At 33.3% G+C, this 22,678-nt stretch overlaps 2 long non-coding RNA genes across 3 annotated transcripts in view; one reads left to right on the forward strand and one right to left on the reverse strand.

The window, feature by feature from the left end:
• Positions 1-22,678, forward strand: part of LOC107985179 (uncharacterized) — a 191,915-nt gene that overhangs the window by 83,682 nt on the left and 85,555 nt on the right. The gene's annotated exons all lie outside the window — the stretch shown is intronic.
• Positions 4,198-22,678, reverse strand: part of LINC01541 (long intergenic non-protein coding RNA 1541) — a 58,993-nt gene continuing 40,512 nt past the window's right edge. Inside the window, exons 3-7 of one of the 2 annotated variants that reach the window (NR_038325.1) lie at positions 18,448-18,530; positions 15,857-16,050; positions 12,011-12,201; positions 6,223-7,490; positions 4,198-5,316 (exon numbers count right to left, since the gene is read on the reverse strand). This is a non-coding gene — a long non-coding RNA (long intergenic non-protein coding RNA 1541). The remainder of the gene's footprint in view (positions 5,317-6,222; positions 7,491-12,010; positions 12,202-15,856; positions 16,051-18,447; positions 18,531-22,678) is intronic. The other variant, NR_038326.1, reaches the window with a different exon arrangement.

Consider the following 22,678-nt stretch of genomic DNA (forward strand, 5'->3'; position numbering starts at 1 on the left):
AAAAATAACTGCAAACCAATAATTTTGTAACTGGGCAATACACACTTTATATATGCACATACAAAGATGCTTTCAGACAAAGTTTGAAGGAATTTGTCTCCAGCATACCTTCAATAAAATGAAAACTGAAAAAAATTATTCAGGCAGAATAAATGATCCCAGAGTGAAATATTTAAATCAAAGAGGGGAAAAAATTGAAGAGCAAATTGCAATTATCAATTAATATTGACTGCACATACGATAAAGGTAATGTGTTATGCAGTTTAAAATATACATGGAACAAAATTGATTACAATTATAGCATAAAATATAGAAAAGGACAAAATAAGTTAAATTTTCTAAGGCTCTAAATATATCAGGAAAGTGATAAAAATAATCATTTGTATTATTACTGCACAAATTAAGTCAATTGCATAAAAGTCATGTATGAATGCTGTAGTTTCTAGAATAGCCATCAGATGTAGGAAAAGAACAACTAGTGAATTGTTAAAAGATGAAAATAAGGTATATTAAAATTATTTTGTTAATACAGATAGACAGCTTAAGAAACACAGAACATTGCCAGGCGCAGTGGCTCATGCCTGTAATCCCAACACTTCGTGGGGCCGAGGCAGGCGGATCATGAGGTCAGGAGTTCGAGACCAGCCTGGCCAACATAGTGAACCCTCATCTCTACTAAAAATACAAAAATTAACCTAGCATGGTGGCGCGCGCCTCCAGCTACTCAGGAGCTTTGAATTATGCTAATAGATAAAAAAACAAACAAACTGACAAAGCAAACCTGAACAGTGAAAGTTCTGGCTCAGGGAAGGTGAAATACGGAATAAACAGTAAAAGAAGGAAGCCCTTGATATCCATTACAACCTGTGACCAACTTCAGAAATGAGAACTGTCTAGATTTGATTTCCTCTCTGGTTATTATTTATATTTATTACATACTTCAGTTATTTATATTTATATTATCTCTTTTTTTCTATAAATATTTGACATCAAGTTATGAAACATTAATTTTACCATTTAGTCTTTAGGTAGAAGAATACCCTGTGACTGAGCTTGCAGAGTAATTAATATAATTAACAATGGATAATGTCTGATGGCATTCTGCATCTCCTCGGTTAGGGTAAGGGCAAGAACTTCTCTTAAAAGAAAAATACTTGTATCTTTCAGTGGAAGCTTATAGCTGTTTCACTGAAATATAGAAGTTCGAATGTGTGTGGAGGATGCATGGAGAAACTGAGGAGCCAAAGGGCTGTGTTTTGCCACTTATAAATCTCTTAAATCTAAACCTACACACTTTTGCCTCCTCTACAATAAAGGAGTTGAGCTTTGTAAACATTTCTTTTGTTTTGTATGCTGTCTGGCTTTGGAGTATGATGATTGAAAGTTTAAAATCATTATACCATCCTGGTATATAAAATCCTTTTGCATTTTGAAATAGATATATTCCAGGAATATTTTTATCTTTAAACATATTAGTCTGATATATGCATAGCTATACATACTTCAGTGAAAAAGCTGAAGTATTTAGTTATTTATATACTCAAGAGGCTGTGTCTTCAATTATCTTGCTTTTGTTGTGGTCATCTTAGGTGTTGTTATAGTTTTGCCTTAATCTTTACCCTTGGACATGGAACTTAATAAGAGACCACAAATAATTGCCTGGGTTCCAAATACAGTACCTTTTACTACCATTATGTAGCAGCAACTCAATTTCCTCATGGTAATCAAGATAATTTTTTTTCTGGCCAATAGATTAACTCTTTTTTTTTTTCCCCTGCCTGTTCATTCAGTGGCACAAGGAACCCAGAATGTCCAGAACAGAATCTCATTTTACAATTCAATTGAGTCATTATTGTTTTTCCTGTTTGAAGCACCACCCAAATTGTTTTGGACACCAAGACCCCAGATCAGCAGGTTTCTAGCTAAAATAGATCTTTACTTATTAAGTAAATTGAGGCATTAATGAGTAACAAAGAAAGAAAGAAAGAAGAAAAAAAAGAAAGAAATTACCAGGCCTAGGACATTTCACTGGTGAACTCTTACCAAACACTTAAGGAAAATATAATACTTATTCTTCAAGATCATTCTTGCTTTCAAAAAATAGAAATTAAAGAAACACTTCTTACTTCATTCTATGCAGCCAAAATCACCCTAATTCCAGAATCACATAAAGACATTACAGAAAATAAAAATTACAGACCAATATCTCTAAAAAACATAGCAAATGTATTAGCAATCAAATCTTAAAATGCATAAAAATAATTGCACACCACAATTTACTAGGATTTACTCCAGATATTCAAGGCTAAACATTTAGGTATTCAAAAGTCAACTAATGTAATCGACCACATTAACAAACTAAAAAACAGTCATGTGAGTGTGTTAATTGGTACAGAAAAAGATTTATTTGTATTCAATAGCCATTCATGATAAAACCTCTCAACAAATGACATAGAAGGGAATTCCTCAATATTATAAAGAACATATACCGAAAACGTATAGCTGACATTATAGTTAATGGAAGGAAACTGCATATTTTCCCCTTATAACTAGAGCAAGGCAAGAATGGCCTCTCCTGCTATTCCTATTCAATATTACACCGAGAAGACTCCAACCTAGTGCAGTAAGATGAGGAAAAGAAATAAATATGTAAAGACTGGCAAAGATATCATGAAATTGTCTTTACTCACAGGTGACATGATTGCCTAGGCAGAAAATCTCAGCAAATGCAAAAAACATAATTAACAAACAAAAGATCTCAAAAACTCTTGGATTTAATGAGCGTGCGTAACAAGGTCGTAAGATACATGATTAACATACAAAATTTGATTGCTTCCAAAGAGTAAAGTATGAAAAGGGAAAAAACATAGAATAACTTTATACTGGAGAAACCTGACAGATATTAACTCAACCAGGTGATTAAGTTTAGCATCAACAGTGACAAGTCAGGATAAGAGCATAGATGTACTCTTGACCTGATGAAATGAAAATGGCACTTTATTTCTATGGTCTTCTTCCTAAAAACATTATCAGTCTAGTCACGAAATAAACATTAGACCAGTTCCATTTCAGGTACTTTATACAAAATTCCTCATCAATACTAAGCGTCAAGGTCATCAGAGACAACAGGAATCTGAGAAACTGTCATAGCCAAGAGGAAGTTAAGGATATATGACTATTAAATATAACATGGCACCATGGAGAGGATTGTGGACACAAGAAGAGATGATAATTTAAAAATAAGAAAATTTGAATCTAACAGGGACTTTTGTTAATGTTGTATCTTGAAAATTCATGCTTAACAAGAGAGGGTTTCCCACCCCAGTAATAACATTTGGATCAGTAGACACAGCAATTCTTGCCTCTGTTTGAAATCTTAAACAAACTCCTCTGACACTGCTGTCCCCAATTAAGAATGGTAATAGTAAAAACCCATCAATGATAAAATTAATAATGCATCAACATTAGTTCAATATTATGACAAATGTATCATACTAATGTAAGATATTAATAACAGGAAAAACAGGAACTATGTACCACCTTTTCCAGAACACATACACATATTCTAAACTTAAATATTTAATGTAAATACCAGTGAGTAGAACACACAAAAAATAAAAATAACTAGAAGAGGCAAACTTGTGTAAAAATTAAGCACTAGACTTTTAAATAAGCAATGGATCCAAACAAAATATTTTAAAATACAGCACGTATTTTCAACTAAATGAAAATGATGGTCTAGCATATAAAAACTTGTAAAACTTGACTAAGCATTGCTCAGATGTATTTTTAAAGCTTTCAAGTTATCTCAGGGAAAATAATTAGAGAAAAAGCTCAAGAATAATGTCCTTTTTATTATTTTATTATTTTTATCTATTTCCTTTTTTTTTTTTTTTTTCAGGACAGGGTCTGTCTCTGCCACCTAGGTGGTTCTCAAACTCCTAGGCTGAAGCAATTTTCCCACTTCATCCTCTCCTGTCTGGGATTACAGGCATACAGCACTGTTATTATTTGTATTCCAAGAAGCAACAACAACAACAAGAAAACCCACCAAATTAAACTAGGAAAACATAGCAGGAAGAGAATCGTAAGGATAAGAGAAAAAGAAATTAAATAGAAAACACAAAAACAATACAAAAAATTAGGAAAGTCATGTGTTAGATTTCACAAAATTGATAAAATCCAACAAAACTGATCAAGAATAGAAAAATAAATACTTTATTAGCCATGAAGTATGAGACCTCACACAAGTTTCTAGAAACATTAAAAGGTCAGATGATATAGTGAAAACTATACAATAAATTTAACAGTAGGGACACAATTACCAAAGCTTTTAAAAATTATACTTAAATCTGAGAATTTAATTTCAGATTTATACTTAAACCTGAAGTATACTTTTGTGACTTAAATGTTTTTTACCATGTGTATAAGACCAGATTTATAATCATTGCACATTAGATGTGTAAAGCTCACAGAAATTTTATTTATGTTATTTTTATTTTTGATTATACTGATAAATACATTTATGGAAATAATCATAAACTTTGAATTCAGGAAAGCAGATAGGTGGCATTAGTCAGTGGATATGTATCATAATATATTTTTTCAAACCAAAGTTATAATAAATTTGCCAGCATGATAATTAAATATAGGATATTTGGAGAAATCATTTCAGTAATATTGGAGCTAGTTAATAACTGTATGAAGACTTTAAATATAAATATATCTTACAAATAGCACTCACTGCTTTATGTATCAACTAGACAACTATTTCAGAATGCAGCCACACACATATGAAAGTCAGTCCCATTAAAGGATTCTTAACATATACATACATAGGAATTCAGAATTGTAATATTATGAATTTAATTTCAAAAGCTAAAGAAAATCACTAATATAGGATGACAATGATGAGAATAAACTACAGCTTCAATTTAATAATTTTTTAAAGTGCACCAAGAGCTACACTTAAAATGTTTGACTTTGTTTGATTTCCTTTTCTTATACTACTTCTGTCTGAAAATTGTGTATTTGTATTCACAGATACCCACAAATGCACATCTATCCACATGATTTTGTACACATACGCATTTCTTCCTCCCTTCATGTAAGTCTCCCATATGAAGTTTGCCATAAAGTCCTGTAAGTTCACCCCAAAGCTTCATTCAATTGTTTTTAATCCATTATCAAGGGATGAAAATGTCACCACTCTAATTCAGGCCCTTGTAATCTCTGTGATATACCATAGAAGATTCTTTCTATTTTTCAGGGTTTTAATCTTCAAGTTAACTTCCATAGTGTCACCGTATGTATCTTCTGAAAGTAGAAATATAACTATGTCATGTCAGACCTGGATGATTTAAAATTATTTGTTAGTTTTCTAGTATGCTCCACATAAAATTTAAGTGTTTAAAAATCCAGTATGCTTTTCAGCCTGAACGTGCATTAAAATAAAATGTTATTAATATCATCACTGCCTATAACCAGGACCCACTTTTTGTCAAGCAGACCTGATAAAGGATCTAGACATCAGAGATGTTAAAAGTTCCTAGGTGATATTGATGAGCTGAGACCCACTCTCTCAGACTCATATGAAGAGTTTTGTATTATCTGGTCCTTGTTCCATGGGGCTCATGGATCTTCATTTTCTTGTGTAAACGCTAACTTCTCCTGACCTCAATGAGCTCCCTCATGTCCCCCCCACCCTCATCACCACCCGCATATTTCTGCCTGGGAAACTCTTCTTTCTTCCCCATATTTCTTTATGGGAAACTCCTTTCCTGTTTTCACCAACTTGACCATTTTCTCAAGGCTCATCTTCTACTCCCTGTCCTTTCACTAGTCTTACCTTGTGCGTTCCCTTGTAGCTCCTCATGTCACCAGAACACCATGGTAGCTATGATTCCTTGTGCTCAAGGACTACCTAGCACTCCCATATGTCTCTGCACTTCTCACACTACTGTAAGTCTGTCCCTCTATATGCATTGTAAGTCCTTTGGCGATAGAAGACATCTGTCTAAATCAATGTAGTAACTAGTAGAGGACTATCCACATGGGAGACGTCTGTGATATACAAAATAATGGCCCTCGTCCCCAGTATGTTCACATCTTGATCCCTGGGAACTGTCAATGTGACCTTTTATGATAATTGGCATTTTGCAGCCGTGATTAATTTAAGGACCTTGCGATGCATGTTTTTCTTGGGTTATCAAGTGGACTCACAGCAATCAGAAGCGTCCTCATAAACAGGAGATGAAACGTCAGAGTCACATTAGGAATCCTGAGGCTGGAAACAGAGGTTCGAGTGATGGGAGGAAGCCACTAGGAGGCAGGGAATGCAGGCTCCCTAGAAGGAGAAAAGGCAAGGAAGCAAATTTTACCATCAGAGCCCCAGAAGAAACCAGCCCTGTCCACACCCATATCCCCAAGATTTAACTTTATTTCATAAGATCAGTTTTAGGTTACTGACCCTCAGAACTATAAAAAATTAAATTTCTGTTGTTTTAAACTGCAAAGCTTGTATTTATTTGGTAAAGAAGCAATAGAAAAGTAATACGGTACTCAGTTTATTGAATTGATGAATTGATTTTTTTTTAGTAATCACATAAATTTCTGTAAGATTTGTTATACATTGTTTACTGTCACAGAATCATGTTTTATATCTTCAAGCTCAAAGCAAGCTTTCAAACTTGAATTTAGTTCTTGCATAAATATGGATGATTGTTTCTCCATTGCTGAAGCAGTGTATTATTTCCATAATGATCTGTAAAGTAGGTGGGTTTCATGACCTAAGTGTTATTGTTGATCTTTATATATACAAGGAAAACGCAGAGTCATCGTTCATTTGTAGCTGCATTTATCTCTGGTTTTCAAGCATTTCTATAAAATAACAAGCTTAGTGTGATGGTTAATACTGAGTGTCAACTTGATTGGATGGAAGGAAGCAAAATATTAATCCTGAGTGTGTCTGTGAGGGTGTTGCCAAAGGAGATAAACATTTGAGTCAGTGTGCTGGGAAAGGCAGACCCACCCTTAATCTGGGTGGGCACCATCTAATCAGCTGCCATTGCAGCTAGGATATGAAACAGGCAGAAAAACGTGAAAAGTCTTGACTGGCTTAGCCTCCCAGCCTACATCTATCTCCTGTGCTGGATGCTTCCTGCCCTTGAACATTGAACTCCAAGTTTGTCATCTTTGGGATTCAGACTGGCTTCCTTGTTCCTCAGCTTACAGATGGCCCGGCCTGTTGTGGGACCTTGTGATTGTGTGAGTTAATACTCCTTAATAAACTCCCTTTTATTTATATGTATATATATGTGTGTGTGTGTGTGTTTGTGTGTGTATATATATTCTATTAGTTCTGTCCCTTAGAGAATCCTGACTAATACACTTAGCTTCTCCTTGTCTCTTTCTTTTGATCTTCTGTGAAGCCCTGGCTTGACTTTTCCTGGAAACTTTTCCTGTGACAGTGCATGTATCACAAGATGGCCCTGTCAAAGATACATCATATTAATTACAATATGTGATATTCAGTAGGAACCCAAACAGTACAACAGATAATGGCAAAAGATAAACAACATTTCTAAGTAAAATAAAGTTCTGAAATGCTTTGAATTGAGGCATAAATGCCTTACTGACAGTCCAAAAATGACCTATAAAATCCCGAAGCATTCACCTATCTAAAATTCTGAAAGTTATGATTTCTGTGACAACATAATTTTTATTTACTTTGCATTTTCCTGAAAAGAATTATCAAGTTCACTAAGGCAAAAATGTTATGAAAGAAATTAAATGAGCCTCAAAGCTGAGTCTCAGATCAATAGCAGGAAGTGCCCATGAAATTTATTATATATCGCTTACCAGTGTCTTCTAACCCCTGCAGAACTATTCAATCTGCTGTTACACACATACAATTTCCACAGTACTGGAATGGCAATAAATACTGCTGAAAAAATCTGATCTCTCACCAACTCATTGAGCCCCTTTCATGATTTATGTTCAATCTGGAGCCCACCAAGGAATGAAGATAATAAAAATCTAGGCCAGAGTAATAGAGTTGCCCTGACAAATTCCATGCTGCGACAGAAGCTCCTTCACATTCTCCTCTGCACAAAGAGTATGAGACTTGCCAGGCAAAAATCTAGAATGAGACTTTTCTCCAAGTCTCTCCATTGTATCTCCCAAATATTGATAATTAAGGGGGTAATTTTGAGACAGTTCTTCCCAGGAGATTTTTCTTTTTTTGGCTCATGGATCCTTTAATTATTTGATATATAGTTTTTTAAAAATGAAATGACACAAACTAATGCTCCGCAGCTTTTTCTATCCATTACCTGACATTTTAGAGCAACATTTCTGAGAAACGCCTTAGTCCTGAGACATTCACAGATGTTACATATAATTAATATACTTTAATTGCGATGAAGACAAAACATGCTCTTTAAATCCATTCACAGAGACATGTGTTTCTTTTCATTGGCAAGTTCACAATTACAGTGACTTTCTCAATTGTTTAAAATTGCTATTTTATTCTTATTCCTCTTCACTTGGAGCTTATCCAGTCAACTTAATTGTTGCAGACTTTAACACTGTCACCTTTTTATATCCCTGCAATTAACACAATGAATGTGTGAAATGCTCTCTTCTGTAAAATAACCACAGTCACAATGACACACAGACACACTGACACACACACACACACACACACACACACACACACAAAACTTATAAAATCAGCCTCTCTTAACCTAAAAGGAAGAAGATAAAATTGTATCAATATTCCCATAAGCTGTGTTTCACAGTATCTCTGAACACATATCAAACCCTTAATAGCTAAGTGTTCTACTAGTTTAATTAGTTTTCCTCACTCTATATGAGTAGTATTCCCAACAACGCAGCATTACATTTTGTGTCTCAAATTCAGTAAAGGAAAGCTTCATATATAAAACAGAACAGTGCTCTAAGCATTAGAGGAGGAAGATTTAGAACACTCTCTGTTCCCCATCTACTCTGTGACATGTAACATTTTGCTAATCGCAAATAGCCCTTGATAGAGATATTTGGAAATGGAAGCATTGCGCGTGTGTATGTTTCTTCTGCTAGCTGTTATTGGAAGAGATGCGTGTAGTGTTTTGCATTGACAGTAAAACTACTGTACCTTGCAAGAAAGTGTTTAGAATTTAACTAAAACTTCGGGGAGGATTGCAAAATAAAATGTTAGCCATATTTTTGGACATAAAGAAAACGTGTCTAAATTATGTGGAAAAACTCTACAAGGTGATGAAATCAGTACTCAAGTGAAATATGGTTTAAAATATGTACTTTGGAAAAAAATAAACATTATAAAATGAATAAAAGCAGAAATTTTGATTAAATATAGAAATAAAATGTAGTCTTCTTTCCTAAATACACAAGAGTTTAAGCATGGAGTGGTAAAAATCAATACGAAATTCACCAATAATCACACATAAAGAAGGTAAGCCAAATATTCAATTACATATTATTTCATTGGTATTTACCTTTTGCTTGATAGTGTTTCAAACACTGTTATGTATTATTTCATTTAATCCTCAAAATATCCCTATGAGGGAGATTTTTATACCCGTGGAGGCGCAGAGAACCTAAGACACTTACTATCAGAATTATAGTCTTACCCAAATAAATGTATAAATATATTACAATAAGGAAGCTTTTATCTAGTAGATATTAATTATATTTTAAGTCACTGAATTTCGCTGAAAAAACAAGATAAAATACAGAAACTTACCTGATTATTATATAATTTCATATAAGATGTCATTATTTATAAGTGATTAAATAATATTGCATCTAGTAAATATTGCAGATAAATTTGGCTGCCAAGAGTAAATAAATTCTAATTTCAGAGCATTTATCAAAGTTAATTCTAGGTATAACATGATAAAAATAAAACACTTCCAACTGCAGAGAATATTTTTAAGCATGAAAGGAATAATTCATAATTATCCCATAATTTGTAAGAACAATATGAATAAATTTATGGATATAAATGTTAAATATATATTTAGATACATGTTTAAAATTGAATGTTAAATTCAGACTGTGAAAATATTGAAAGAAAAATTGGTAGACAAAGGGTTTACAATTTACAGTATATATGGAAACTTTATCATGCAGATAAGAATAAGGCAGAAAGAAGGAGGAAAAAAAGGAAAGATGGAAAGAAGGAAGAAAGAAAAGAAGGAAGGAAAATTTAATAAAATAAGGAAAAAGGAAGTACAGAATATTAATTGGCAATCAGAAATCAGACAATTCTAATGGTCCATAAACTAAGAAAACGTACTAACCTTATCAGTAACCCATAGCGTGCAGATTCAAATAGAAGTAAATTATCATTTTTAGCTGATATTTGGGTTGTGGATTGGGAGCAGAGGAAATAGAAAAATATCATTAAAAAGAAAAAATGATGTCGCTTGCATATTGTAGTGAAAGTGAGAATAACTATCATGTTTTCTAAAGTACCCTGGCACGCTGTTACCAAATTATAAATTCATATTACCTTTGCTTCATAAATCCCACTTTGGGAGTCTATTTCACAGAAATAAAAGCACCAGAACATGAATATGCACTCCATGGTAGGTCTGCAAACGCTGTTGGAGTCAGGAGGCTTGGCTCCTCTTGTTGGACAGGGTGTGAAAGGTTAATCCACGAAATGCATAACAGTTTTTTGCCCAAAATGTCTACTTAATTGCACATTGAGTAGCTGTAACAAACTGTGAACATACCAGTAGAATTTAATTAAGTATATGCAAACTATCTCTGAGAGTCTTAAAATTTTCTAAAATTTCATGTATTGAAAATAACAGATAATAAATTTTAATGTAAGGCAATATCAAAGCACATTAAATTATTTTGAGAGGATGAGGATTGCAATCACAATCTTACTCTACAGAATCATTCTGAAACTTCAATAAGGATGTTGACTTCAACAATGAATCAAATGATTCTTTGTTGCTCCCCATGACATACAAAAAGCTGTGTTTGTTTATGAGGCAAAATCTGGCTTATAGCACCACACTACATTTCGGACTCTTTCGTTTTGTAATTGTGTTTTTTAGTCACCTTATTTATTTGTCATGACATCTATATTGCCTTTTAACAACAATTCCCAGTTGATAATCTTAAATGTGCCCAAATTAATGTGATGGTTGTCTTTGGTGTTTTAATTAAGACATTTTTAGAAGTAATAGATAAAAATTTTTGGACACTTTTTGTGGCTTGGAATTGTTGTGAACACTTTACATATACTAATTTTAATTCTCTCAACAAACCTTTTAAATATTGCCATAGCATTGTTCTTGTTGTATAGAACAGAATAAACAAGCCACAGACAAATTTGGCCAGGTCATCCAGCTACAAAATGTTACCGTGGGATTTGAGTCTAGGCAATTTGCTCCCAGAACCCAAATACTTGACCGCATTTTCATCTTTAGATACCCATCAACACATAGTTTAAGGCTCATTACAATGTATAATGCTGTACATATCACTTAGAAACTTGATTTAATTATGCAAAGATATTGCCTAATATCAAGTGTCTCAGTGCTAGTGGTATTTCATGGTTTGGGTTGCTGCAGAAAAGAATTTGCCATCATAAATTCAATTCCTATTTCTACCATACAATATTTGAGTGATGTTAAGCAAGATGCAAAAAAATTATAAGTTTAGTTTTCTACCCAAAGGTAAATGAAAAATGTCTACACTATAGAATTCTTGTGCGGAGTAAATGAACTAATAGACAAGAAAAACTTTCTGGAAAAATTCACCACGTAGAGATTTAAAGAAAAGCTATGAACATAGTAAAGATAGTTTTCATATACCATAATTATTGGGCATTTATTATGGATTGGGAAGTTATCCTTGTGGTTAGTATCTTTCATTGTTGTAATACATTTATCATACTTAATGAACCACAATTGAATATCATTATTAACTAACATCCGTACTTGATTCAGGTTTCCTTGGATTTTACCTAATGTCCTTTTTCAGTTTCTGTATCCCATACGGTATACCACATCACATTTAGTTGCCGTGTATCTTGACTGTAATAATTTTTTTAAACCTTCTTTATTTCTGAAGACCTTGACTGTTTCAGGAGTAGTGGTCAGGTGTTTTGTAGAACGTGTCTCAATTAGAATTTGCTGACTTGGTCTCACAGTTAGCCTGGGGTTATGGGATTTGGGGAAGAAGACCAGAAGTAAAGTGCCATTATCTTCACATTATACCAAGAGTGCATATATCCTATCAACATGACTTTGGACTGTGGATATTAAATTTGATCACCTGAGTGAGATAGTATTTGTCGGGTTTCTCCACCATAAAATCACCCCGTTTTCTCTCTTTCCATACTGTACTCTTAGGAAGGATGTCACCAGGCATAGCCCACACTTAAGGAGTGAAAATTTGTTTTCCATATACCTAAGGGTAGTGTATCTAGATAAATTATTTGGAATTATTCTTTACAAAAGATTTGTCTATTTTCTCCAAATTGTTTATTTATTTCATTATTGATTTATGTAGGTATGGACTCATGGCTTTGTCATCAAATTACTTTATTTATTTTTCTCAAAATTTTCCAGCTTTGTCCATTGGGAGAGCCTCCAGGTGGCTCCTTTACTCCTTTGACATTCTTTTATCATTAACCAGCCAAGATGTTAAACAATTTATCCATTTTCATTAAAAAATTAAGTATAAGACTGTCATTCCTTGTTGTAGGGGATAGTGAATTGTTTTGTTTTTCTAACTTTTTTTCATTTTTAAAGGAACTTAACGTTTTGCTCATAGTCCAATGAGTGGATTGTCAAATTATGTGCCCATACATGTATGATCCCTTCTAACCAATTCTTTGAATGTGAAAACTAATTATTATTTAAATCCAATGTATGTAAAAAATTTTCTATGTAAAATTTCTGAATGATTTGAAAACCAGCAAACAAAAGACCTCAATTGGAAATATATAGGTGTGTTATAGATACCAAACTACAATTTGTAATTATATATCTTAATTTTGTGGCACTTACTCTAAAATCAATCACATAATTGGAAGTAAAACTCTGCTCAGCAAATGCAAAAGAATTGAAATAATAACAGTCTTTTGGACCACAGTGCAATCAAAATGGCAATCAATACTAAGAAATTTGTTCAAAACCATACAATTACATGGAACGTGAATAACCTGTTCCTGAATGACTTTTGAGTAAATAATGAAATTAAGGTAGAAATCAAGTTTTTTGAAATGAATGAGAACAAAGATACAATGTACCAGAATCTCTGGGAAGCAGCTAAGGCAGTGTTAACAGGGAAATTTATAACACTATATGCCCGCACCAGAAAGTTAGAAAGATCTCAAGTTAACAACGTAACTCACAACTAAAAGAACTAAAGAACTCATAGCAAACAAACCCTGAAGCTAGCAGCAGACAATAACCAAAATCAGAGCTTAACTGAAGGAGACAGAGACACGAAAAACTATTCAAAAGACCAGTGAATCCAGGAGCTGGTATTTTGAGAAAATTAATAAAATGCATAGATCACTAGCTAGACTAATAAAGAAGAAAAGAGAGAAGATTCAAATAAACACAACCAGTAATGATAAGAGGGATATTACCATTGACACCACAGAAATACAAATAACCATCAAAGAATATTATGAACACCTCTATGCACATAAACTAGAAAATCTAGAAGAAATGCATAAATTCCTGGACATATACACCCTCCCAAGACTGAACCAGGAAGAAATCAAATCCCTGAACAGATCAATAATGAGTTCTGATACCAAGGCATCAATAAATAGCTTACCAACCAAAAAAGCCCATTACCAGTCAGATTTACAGCTGAATTCTACCAGATGTACAAAGAAGAGCTGGTACCATTCCTAATGAAACTATTCCAAAAAATTGAGGAGGAGGAGGGACTCCTCCCTAACTCATTCTATGAGGCCAGCCTCATCCTGATACCAAAACCTGGCAGAGATACAACAACAAAAAAAGGAAATTTCAGGCCAATATCTCCTGTAAACATTGAGGCAAAAATTTTCAAGAAAACACTGGCAAACTGCCATCAGCACATCAAAAAGCTTATCCACCATGATCAAGTAGGCTTCATGCCCAGAATGCAAGTTTGACTCAACATACACAAACCAATAAATGTGATTCATCATATAAACAGAACTAAAGATAAAAACCACAGATGCAGAAAAGTCTGTCAATATAATTCAACAAACCTTCATGTTAAAAACTCTCAAACTAGGCTTTGAAGGAATATACATCAAAATAATAAGAGCAACCTATGACAAACCCACAGCCAACATTATGGGCAAAAGCTGGAAGCATTCCCCTTGAAAACCAGTACAAGACAAGGGTGCCCTCTGTCACGACTCCTGTTCAACATAGTATTAAAATTCTGGCCCGGGTAATCAGGCAAGAGAAAGAAATAAAGTGCATTCAAATCTGAAAAGAGGAAGTCAAACTATCCGTGTTTGCAGATGACATGATCCTATATCTAGAAAACCCCCTAATCTTAGCCCAGAGCTTCTTAGGCTCATAAACAACTTCAGCAAAGTCTCATGATACAAAATCAATGTGCAAAAATCACTAGCATGTCTGTATACCAACAACGGTCAAGCAAAGAACCAAATCAGGAATGAACTCCCATTCACAGCTGCCACAAAAAGAATAAAATATCTAGGAATGCAGCTAACTAGGCAGGTGAAAAATCTCTACAGGCAGAACTACAAGCCACTTCTCAAAGAAATCAGAGACGACACAAACATATGGAGAAACATTACATGTTCATGCATAGGAAGAATCAATATTGTGAAAAAGGCCATAATGCCTAAAGCAATTTATAGATTCAATGCTATTACCATTAAACTACCATTTACATTCTTCACAGAACTAGAAAAAAAAATTAAAATTCATATGGAACCAAAAAAGAGGCCGAATAGCCAAGGCAATCCTACGCAAAAAGAACAAAGCTGAAGGCATCATGCTACCTGACTTCAAACTACACTACAGGGCTACAGTAACCAAAAGCATGGTACTGGAACAATAACAGACACATAGAACAATGGAAAAGAATAGAGAACCCAGAAATAAGACTGAACACCCACAACTCTCTGATCTTTGACAAACTTGACAAAAACAAGCAATAGGGAAAAGATTTCGTATTCAATAAATGGTGCTGGGATAACTGGCTAGTCATATGCAGAAAGTTAAAACTGGACTCCTTCCTTACACCAGATACAAAAATTAACTCAAGGTGGATTTAGTACTTAAATGTAAAACCAAAAAGTATAAAAACCCTGGAAGATAACCTAGGCAATATCATGTGGGACATAGGCATAGGCAAAGATTTCATAGCATATTTTTTCTATGTCATTTTGATTGAAATAAAAATGAAGATTTTAGGGTGAGTGAAAACAAGAAAAAGTATGAGAAAAAAAGTAAATTTATCTATACTAAAATGAAATCCCCAAATGCCTCAATTTTAAGTCACTATTGACTTATTCACAGTGAAAACTACCTTAATTCAACCTATACCTTTAAAATGGTGTGCTACTAGAGATACATTTTTTAATAAGAAGGCAGGCAAGGAACTGCTTTGTGAGAATTATTTAAGTGATGCATATGCTTCTAATGCTTTTAAGAATATTTACCTCCCCAAAAAAGAATATCATACATAAATATCTTCCCATCCATGATATAATTATGTAAACTGTGAATTACAAGTTAAGCAACCTTATTAAATTCATTTTAATTATATTTTATTTTTATATTTAAAATTTAATATTGACCTATTTTATAACGTTACTTACATTTAAAATTTAATTGCCCAGATATATAACGATCTACCACTACAGCGGTAGCTATTAGTGCATTGGGGTAATTCCATGGTTGATTCATTTTACTTTTGCAGCTGAAAAAACCTCATGCTGAGCAGAGAGGCATCTAATTTGCTCATCATCCATGCTGGAAGCTTTTTTTGTCTATTAGCTTTGACCTTTATGACCTAAAAAAGTGTGGTAATATTTTACAGTTAATAACACAAAAGAAGAGAATAACTGAAAATAAAATATATGAGTAAGAAATTCATTTTAAACCCTGATTTTAAAAATTAATTCAACTTTAGAATTGATAGATTTGCTTGATCAATTACTGGCAATCTGTAGTGGGTAGAAAATTCTGAGCCTCTTTTCAGCATACTTATTAGCAGCAAGGTTTAACAAAGATGGAAAATTAAACTTCAATGATGACTTTATGCTTTAGATTTTTATAACACAAAATACACATAGATTTTTATTTCAATCAAATTCAAGACTTACAGCTATATTATTTATCATCAAGTGAAACCTTCAGAAAGATGAATTCCTAAAGCTAGGGACATACCTCTATGAAACGCTTCCCTCACTTGCTATCTAAAATATGTTTCCTATTTCTACATCAATTCCCATATCTATATTATTTCTTCACCTTTCTTTTCAGTTAATTGAGAGAAAAAAGTGAAATAAAGGAATAGAATGATCCAGATAAGTAGAAAAAGATTACAATCTACTGTCAAGGAATCAACCTTATCCATTGATTATAACGTAATTATTCCTTCTTTCCATGCATCTTATCCATGAATGTTATTTAATCTAATCTTTTGAAAGTGATTTCCTCTAAAGAGACTAAATTACTACTGTGTAATTATGTAAAGAGTTCAAAGAGCCATTGAAAGTTGTAATACAAGGGAGTTATTTGGTAGAGGAAAACAACTAAATTAAGTTTAACTTGCATTTTAATTTGTCATTAACGGTGCTGAAAACACCTACAGCAAACCAAATTCATGCTTTTGTGTCTGAATTACGTAATTTTAACTTCTAAATTATGTAGCCTATATGAAAGAGCTCTACTTTAGGTCTTTCATAATTATCATAATAAACTACATATATCCTACCCAATCAAGTGTTTGTTGTGGTTTTATGTGTTATGTAAGTTGGATACTGTGAAAATAATCCAGTGATCAAATTTCATACTTACTGTTATAAATTAAACATTCTATGTACTTTTAATAGTATATTGTATAAATATAAAGTCTCCCATCAATCACTATTTATGTCAATAGCTACATTTATATTTTAAAAACACTTTGCATATATCTTTGTACCATTGCACAAGTATTTTTGAAGTATAAATTTCTAAAAATAAAAATGGTAGTTATAAATAATTCATAATTCTGAATTTTAAATATATTATTAAAATAGTCTAGAAAATGTTCTTACCAATTTGCATAAAATCATCAAGAGTGAAATAAAGCTTTGTTATATGTTTTCACATTACCTATTTACCAACCTAACAGGGGCAAAATTTTAAATCATCTGCTTTTGGCTACGATATATTTGCTTCTAGAAGATTAATATCCCTCTGCAAACATGTTAAAAAGTAGAAAATAAGGATATAAGTGCATTAAAAGTATCAAATAAAATGTTATTTTAGTACATTAAAGAACTATTTAGTTAACCAGGACTTTAGATACCAGAATCCTGAAGAAACCATGAGAGCAGAGAAAGCAGTAGAGCTTTCTGGAGGAAAGTAAGCTCATTTACAACCCTCCACAAAGTTTCAAATACCTGCTATTCATTAAAAATGACAACTATCAAATACTTGGTATCCCTTAAAAAATTACAAGGTAGGGAAATATACACGACCAAATGAGGGAAAACTATGAGAAAAAACAAAAAACAAACTACAAAAACACCTGACATTAGAAAAGGACCCATGGAGATTTTGGTATTGGCTCTGTTATCAGACAGAGGTCTTAAAATACAACGCTATTATCTTCAACAGGAATGAGACTAATAAGGTGGAAGACAAGGTCAAGACAAAATCTCTAAAATAAGTATTCAAAAAAGATGATAAAAAAAGATAAAAAGCAAGAAATTCAAGTAGAAATGGAGAGAATTAATAGAAGAAAATAGTAATATCTGCAGAATCAGTGCCTGAGAATTCATAAAATAGATATAGGCAACAAATCGCATATGCAAAATATCTGCAAATCTAAGCAGTATACATACAAATAAAGCTACATGAAAGCACTTCACACCATGCTGAAAAAAACACAAAAAAAACTACTTAAAAAGCAATCTAATATTAAAAAGCATATTTATGTCTTTTTAAACAATAAAAACAATAACAGTGACACCTGAATTTTTAGAGGAGCAGTAGAAGCCAGAAGACAATAATTGATGTTTTAAAAGGATGAAAGAAAATAACTGTCAAACTATATTCCAGCAAATATATCCATAAAAATAAATACATATAACAGTTCATTGATGATGTGTAAAATAAACACTATAACTTTTGTTTTACTTTTGTGACTTAAATTTTTTTAACCATGTGCCTAAAACCAGTTTAAGAATTAACTTACCCATTGGACATTTATGCCTTTAAATGAATGGTACAAACACTTTCACCTATGTCCTGTATCTTCCAAGCTACAGGCTTCACAATCTGGAAAAAATAAAAATAAACAGTTTCTCTGCTTACTTTTAGAATTTATAAGTAAGTCTTTGAATATGTTAAATGGAATTGCTGTTAAAATTACTGTGAATAATAGCAACTCCTACTCCTAAATAAGATGTATTTTGTGAAATCTGGATGTTTTAATTCTTTTGACATCTAGTGATATTTTATGCAGTAAACTAGAAAAATTTTTAAAAAGAGTATTTTGTGCATTAAATTAGTCCTTTACTTAAAGCCATAAACACGTGGATTTATTGTTAGATAACTCAGTCTGACAAGTACAAAGAGACTGTAAACTGTTGAACCTTGACAAATATCTAGGGAAAAATACTGAATAAAGATGTCAAAAGGTTTCCTGAAAATTATTTTTTGTTTACAGTCAGGGGAAACATACATTTTGTACTTTCCATTTTCTGTTTCTTCCAGGGATAAAATATTTAGTGTTAGCAGTGTAAATTCTATTCTTAGAGAGCTGGAGCTAAAATGGCTCAAATGGTTTAGAGCTCCAAATACTTCAGGGTATGCACAAAGGGAATTGTTTGGAGTAGTTTTCCTCTCTGTTGTAAAATGGTATTATTATGTACTTGAAAAGTTATCCAAAATGACAAATAATTTTGAGAAGAAAAATTTCAAATGGATATGAAAACTAGAAATAGCTAATAACTTCTCTACTGTAAAATTAACATGAATGATTACATTGATTAATGCATTCACTATTTCATGTCTGAAATGAAGTCATGGAGCACTCCAGAGTAAGCACTGAGCTATAAACTGGTGATAGAATATTAATACAAGTGACACATCTCTGCACTCATACAAATTACAGCATGAGATGAGAAGTGGAAAAATTATTAGAATACATGGTTAGGTATAGTGTGCTATGCAAACATGGAGAGAGTTTCTAACACTAAATTAGCCATAAGGAAGGATTAAGAATTTCAGGTAGAAGGGACAAGGTCAATCCTCAAGGCCTTGACATGTTAAGGACTTAGAAGTATAATCGGCATGGTAAATTAACAGCCAGTCAGGACCAGAGCTAGTGGAAAGGTAGTTGTGAAGGCCTTAGTATCTCATGTCACAAAACTTGGGATATTTTTTCAGAATAACAGGAAACCACTGAAGAGTTTAACCATTGCTAGCTTTTGATTATTGTATATTTCAGGCAGGTACCATAGTGGCATGTGAGGGACAGATTAAAAAATTGTCAGGGCTAAGGGACAAAGGAATCTGCTAGGCTAAGACCAGGATTAGGAAAAAATATGATATTAGGTAGTTTTAATGGGGATGGAGAGAGGAGAATGAATATGAGAAACTTAAAAGAATGGTGGTGATTTTATAATTAATGTGATTATTTTATTAATGTGAACGGTCTAACTCTCTGCAGTGAAAACTATTGAAAACAGGGGCTGATCTGTCTTTGCTCCGTATCCATCCCATGACCCTAGAAGGGTGCTGAGTTCATAACTAATCAATGAATGTATTTTTGAACTGGTGACATTCATACTTCTAAAAATAATTCCAATTTATATGAGATTTGAGGAGTATATGTGCAGGTTTGTTCCATTAATGTATTGCATGATGCTGAGGTTTGGAATATCAGTGGCCCTGTCACCCATGTTGTGAGCATAGTACCCAATAATTAGTTTTTCAACCCTTGACCCCTTCCCTTTCTACCCCTCTGGTAGTCCCCAGTGTTTATTGTTTCCATCATTAGGTCCATGGGTTCTCAATGTTCGGCTTCCACTTACAAGTGAGGACGTGCAGTATTTGGTTCATCTGTTCTGTGTTAATTCACAGCACGAGTATATCTTCTTTTGAGAAGTGTCTCCTCGTGTATTTTGCCCATTTTTATTGGGATTATTTGTTTTTGGCTTGCTGAATTCTTTAAGTTCTTTATAGATATTAGACCTTTGTTGGAATGCATAGTTTGCAAATATTTTCTCCCATTCTCTTGGTTGTCTGTTTGTTGACAGTTTCTTTTGCTGTGCAGAAGCACTTAAGTTTAATTAGGTTTCATTTTTCAATTTTTGTTTTTGTTGTAAGTGCTTTTGAGGACTTAATAATACATTATTTTCCATGATTGATGTCTAGAATGGTGTTTGCTATGTATTCTTCGATAATTCTGACATTTTGAGGTCTTACATTTGAATCATTAATCCATCTTGAGTTAATTTTTGTATATGGTAAAAGTTAAGGGTTTAGTTTCATTCTTCTGCATATGGTTAGCTAGATATTCCAGCATCATTTATTGAATAGAGAGTTCATTCCCCATTATTTAATTTTGTCAGCTTTGCCGAAGATAAAGTGGCTGTTCCTGTGTGACTTTATTTGTGAATTCTCTATTCTATTCCACCTGTCTATGTGTCTGTTTTTGTACCAGTACCATGTTGTTTTGTTACTGTAGCCTTATACTATAGTTTGAAGTCAGGTAATGTAATGTCTCTAGCTTTGCCCTTTTGCTTAGTACTGATTTGGCTATTCAGGATCTTTTTTTGGTCCTACCTAATTTTAGAATAATTTATTTTAAGTCTGTGAAAAATGATGTTGGTAGTTTGATAGGAATAGTGTTGAGTCTGTAGATTGCTTTGGACAGTATGGCCATTTTAACAATATTGATTCCTCCAATCCATGAGCATAGAATGTTTTTCCATGTCTTTATATCATCTATGATTTCTTTCAGCAGTGTTTTCTTGCTTGTATTTCTCGTAGAGCTCTTTCACAATCTTGGTTAAATACATTGCTAAGTATTTTTTTGTTGTTACTGTAAATAGAATTACATTCTTGATTTGGCTCTCAGCTTAAATGTTATTGGTCTATAGAAATGCTACTTAATTTTTGCATATTGATTTTATATCCTCAAACTTTACTGAAGTTGTTTATCAGTTCCAGGAGCCTTTTGATAGTCTTTAGTGTTTTCTAGGTATAGAATCATATCATCAATGAAGAGAGATTGCTTGATTTCTTTTCCTATTTGGATGCCTTTTTGTATCTTTCTCTTGCTTGATTGCTCTGGCCAGGACCTTCTGAATGTATTTATTTATTTATTTATTTATTTTTTGAGACAGTTTCACTCTTGTCTCCCTGGCTGGAGTGCAGTGGAGTGACCTCGGCTCACTGCAACCTCCACCTCCTGGGTTCAAGTGATTCTCTTACCTCAGCCTCCAGAGTAGCTGGGATTACAGACGCTCACCACCATGCCTGGCTAATTTTTTCTATTTTTAGTAGAGACAGGGTTTCATCATGTTGGCCAGGCTGGTCTTGAACTCCTGACCTCAGGTGATCCACCTGCCTCGGCCTCCCAGAGTGCTGGGATTACAGGTTTGAGCCACAGCACCTGGCCCCTGCATGTGTTTTTAATGAATGTAGAAGAGAGAGATGAATAGGATAACGGTCAGACCAAGGTTCTTAATGGGATAACTGTTTAGATGGTGTTTGCCATTTACTAACACAGAGGTATCAGGTGGATAAACTAAATGTGGGAGTATATAAAGATCTCGTTTTTGGTGTTTTTAGTTGGAGATATGTTTAAGCTTTTCTAATGGAAGTATTCAGTAACCAGCTGCATAAATAAGTCTTAAACCTTTAGGAAACAAATTGGAGCTGACATGTACGTGACGTAGACGAAGCCGTAGAAAATTAAGTGATCTAACCAAGAGAGTACAGAGAATGAATTAAAAAGGAGAAATTAGAACTCAGCAGAAAATCAACAATTGAGACATACATAAATAAGAAAGTAAGCCAAAAATAAGAGGTTGAGGGGAGGGAATTAATGGCTAGGGAGCTATGAGGAGAATTAAAACATCATAGTATTCATTCAACTTATTTTTATAAAATACTTGGCAATTGCTAAATGCTAGATATTATTCTAGGTCCTGGTAATACGGCAGAGAACAATAGCTTACTTCCTTCATGATATTTACATTCTAGTGGAGGAAAACAGGCAGCAAACAATATAAATGTAAAGACATGCTACACAAGTAATAGATAAGCTGGAGCATGATGAAGGCAGTAAGTAAAGACAATGCTGATGTGTGTAGGCCTTTGTTATTTTATAGAAAATACCCTGAGGAAGTCTATTTAGGCATGTGACTTTTGAACAGGAACATAAATGAAACACGGTAGAAAGCTACGTATCT

Source organism: Homo sapiens, chromosome 18 (assembly GCF_000001405.40).
Source record: "Homo sapiens chromosome 18, GRCh38.p14 Primary Assembly".
Lineage (NCBI taxonomy): Eukaryota > Metazoa > Chordata > Mammalia > Primates > Hominidae > Homo > Homo sapiens.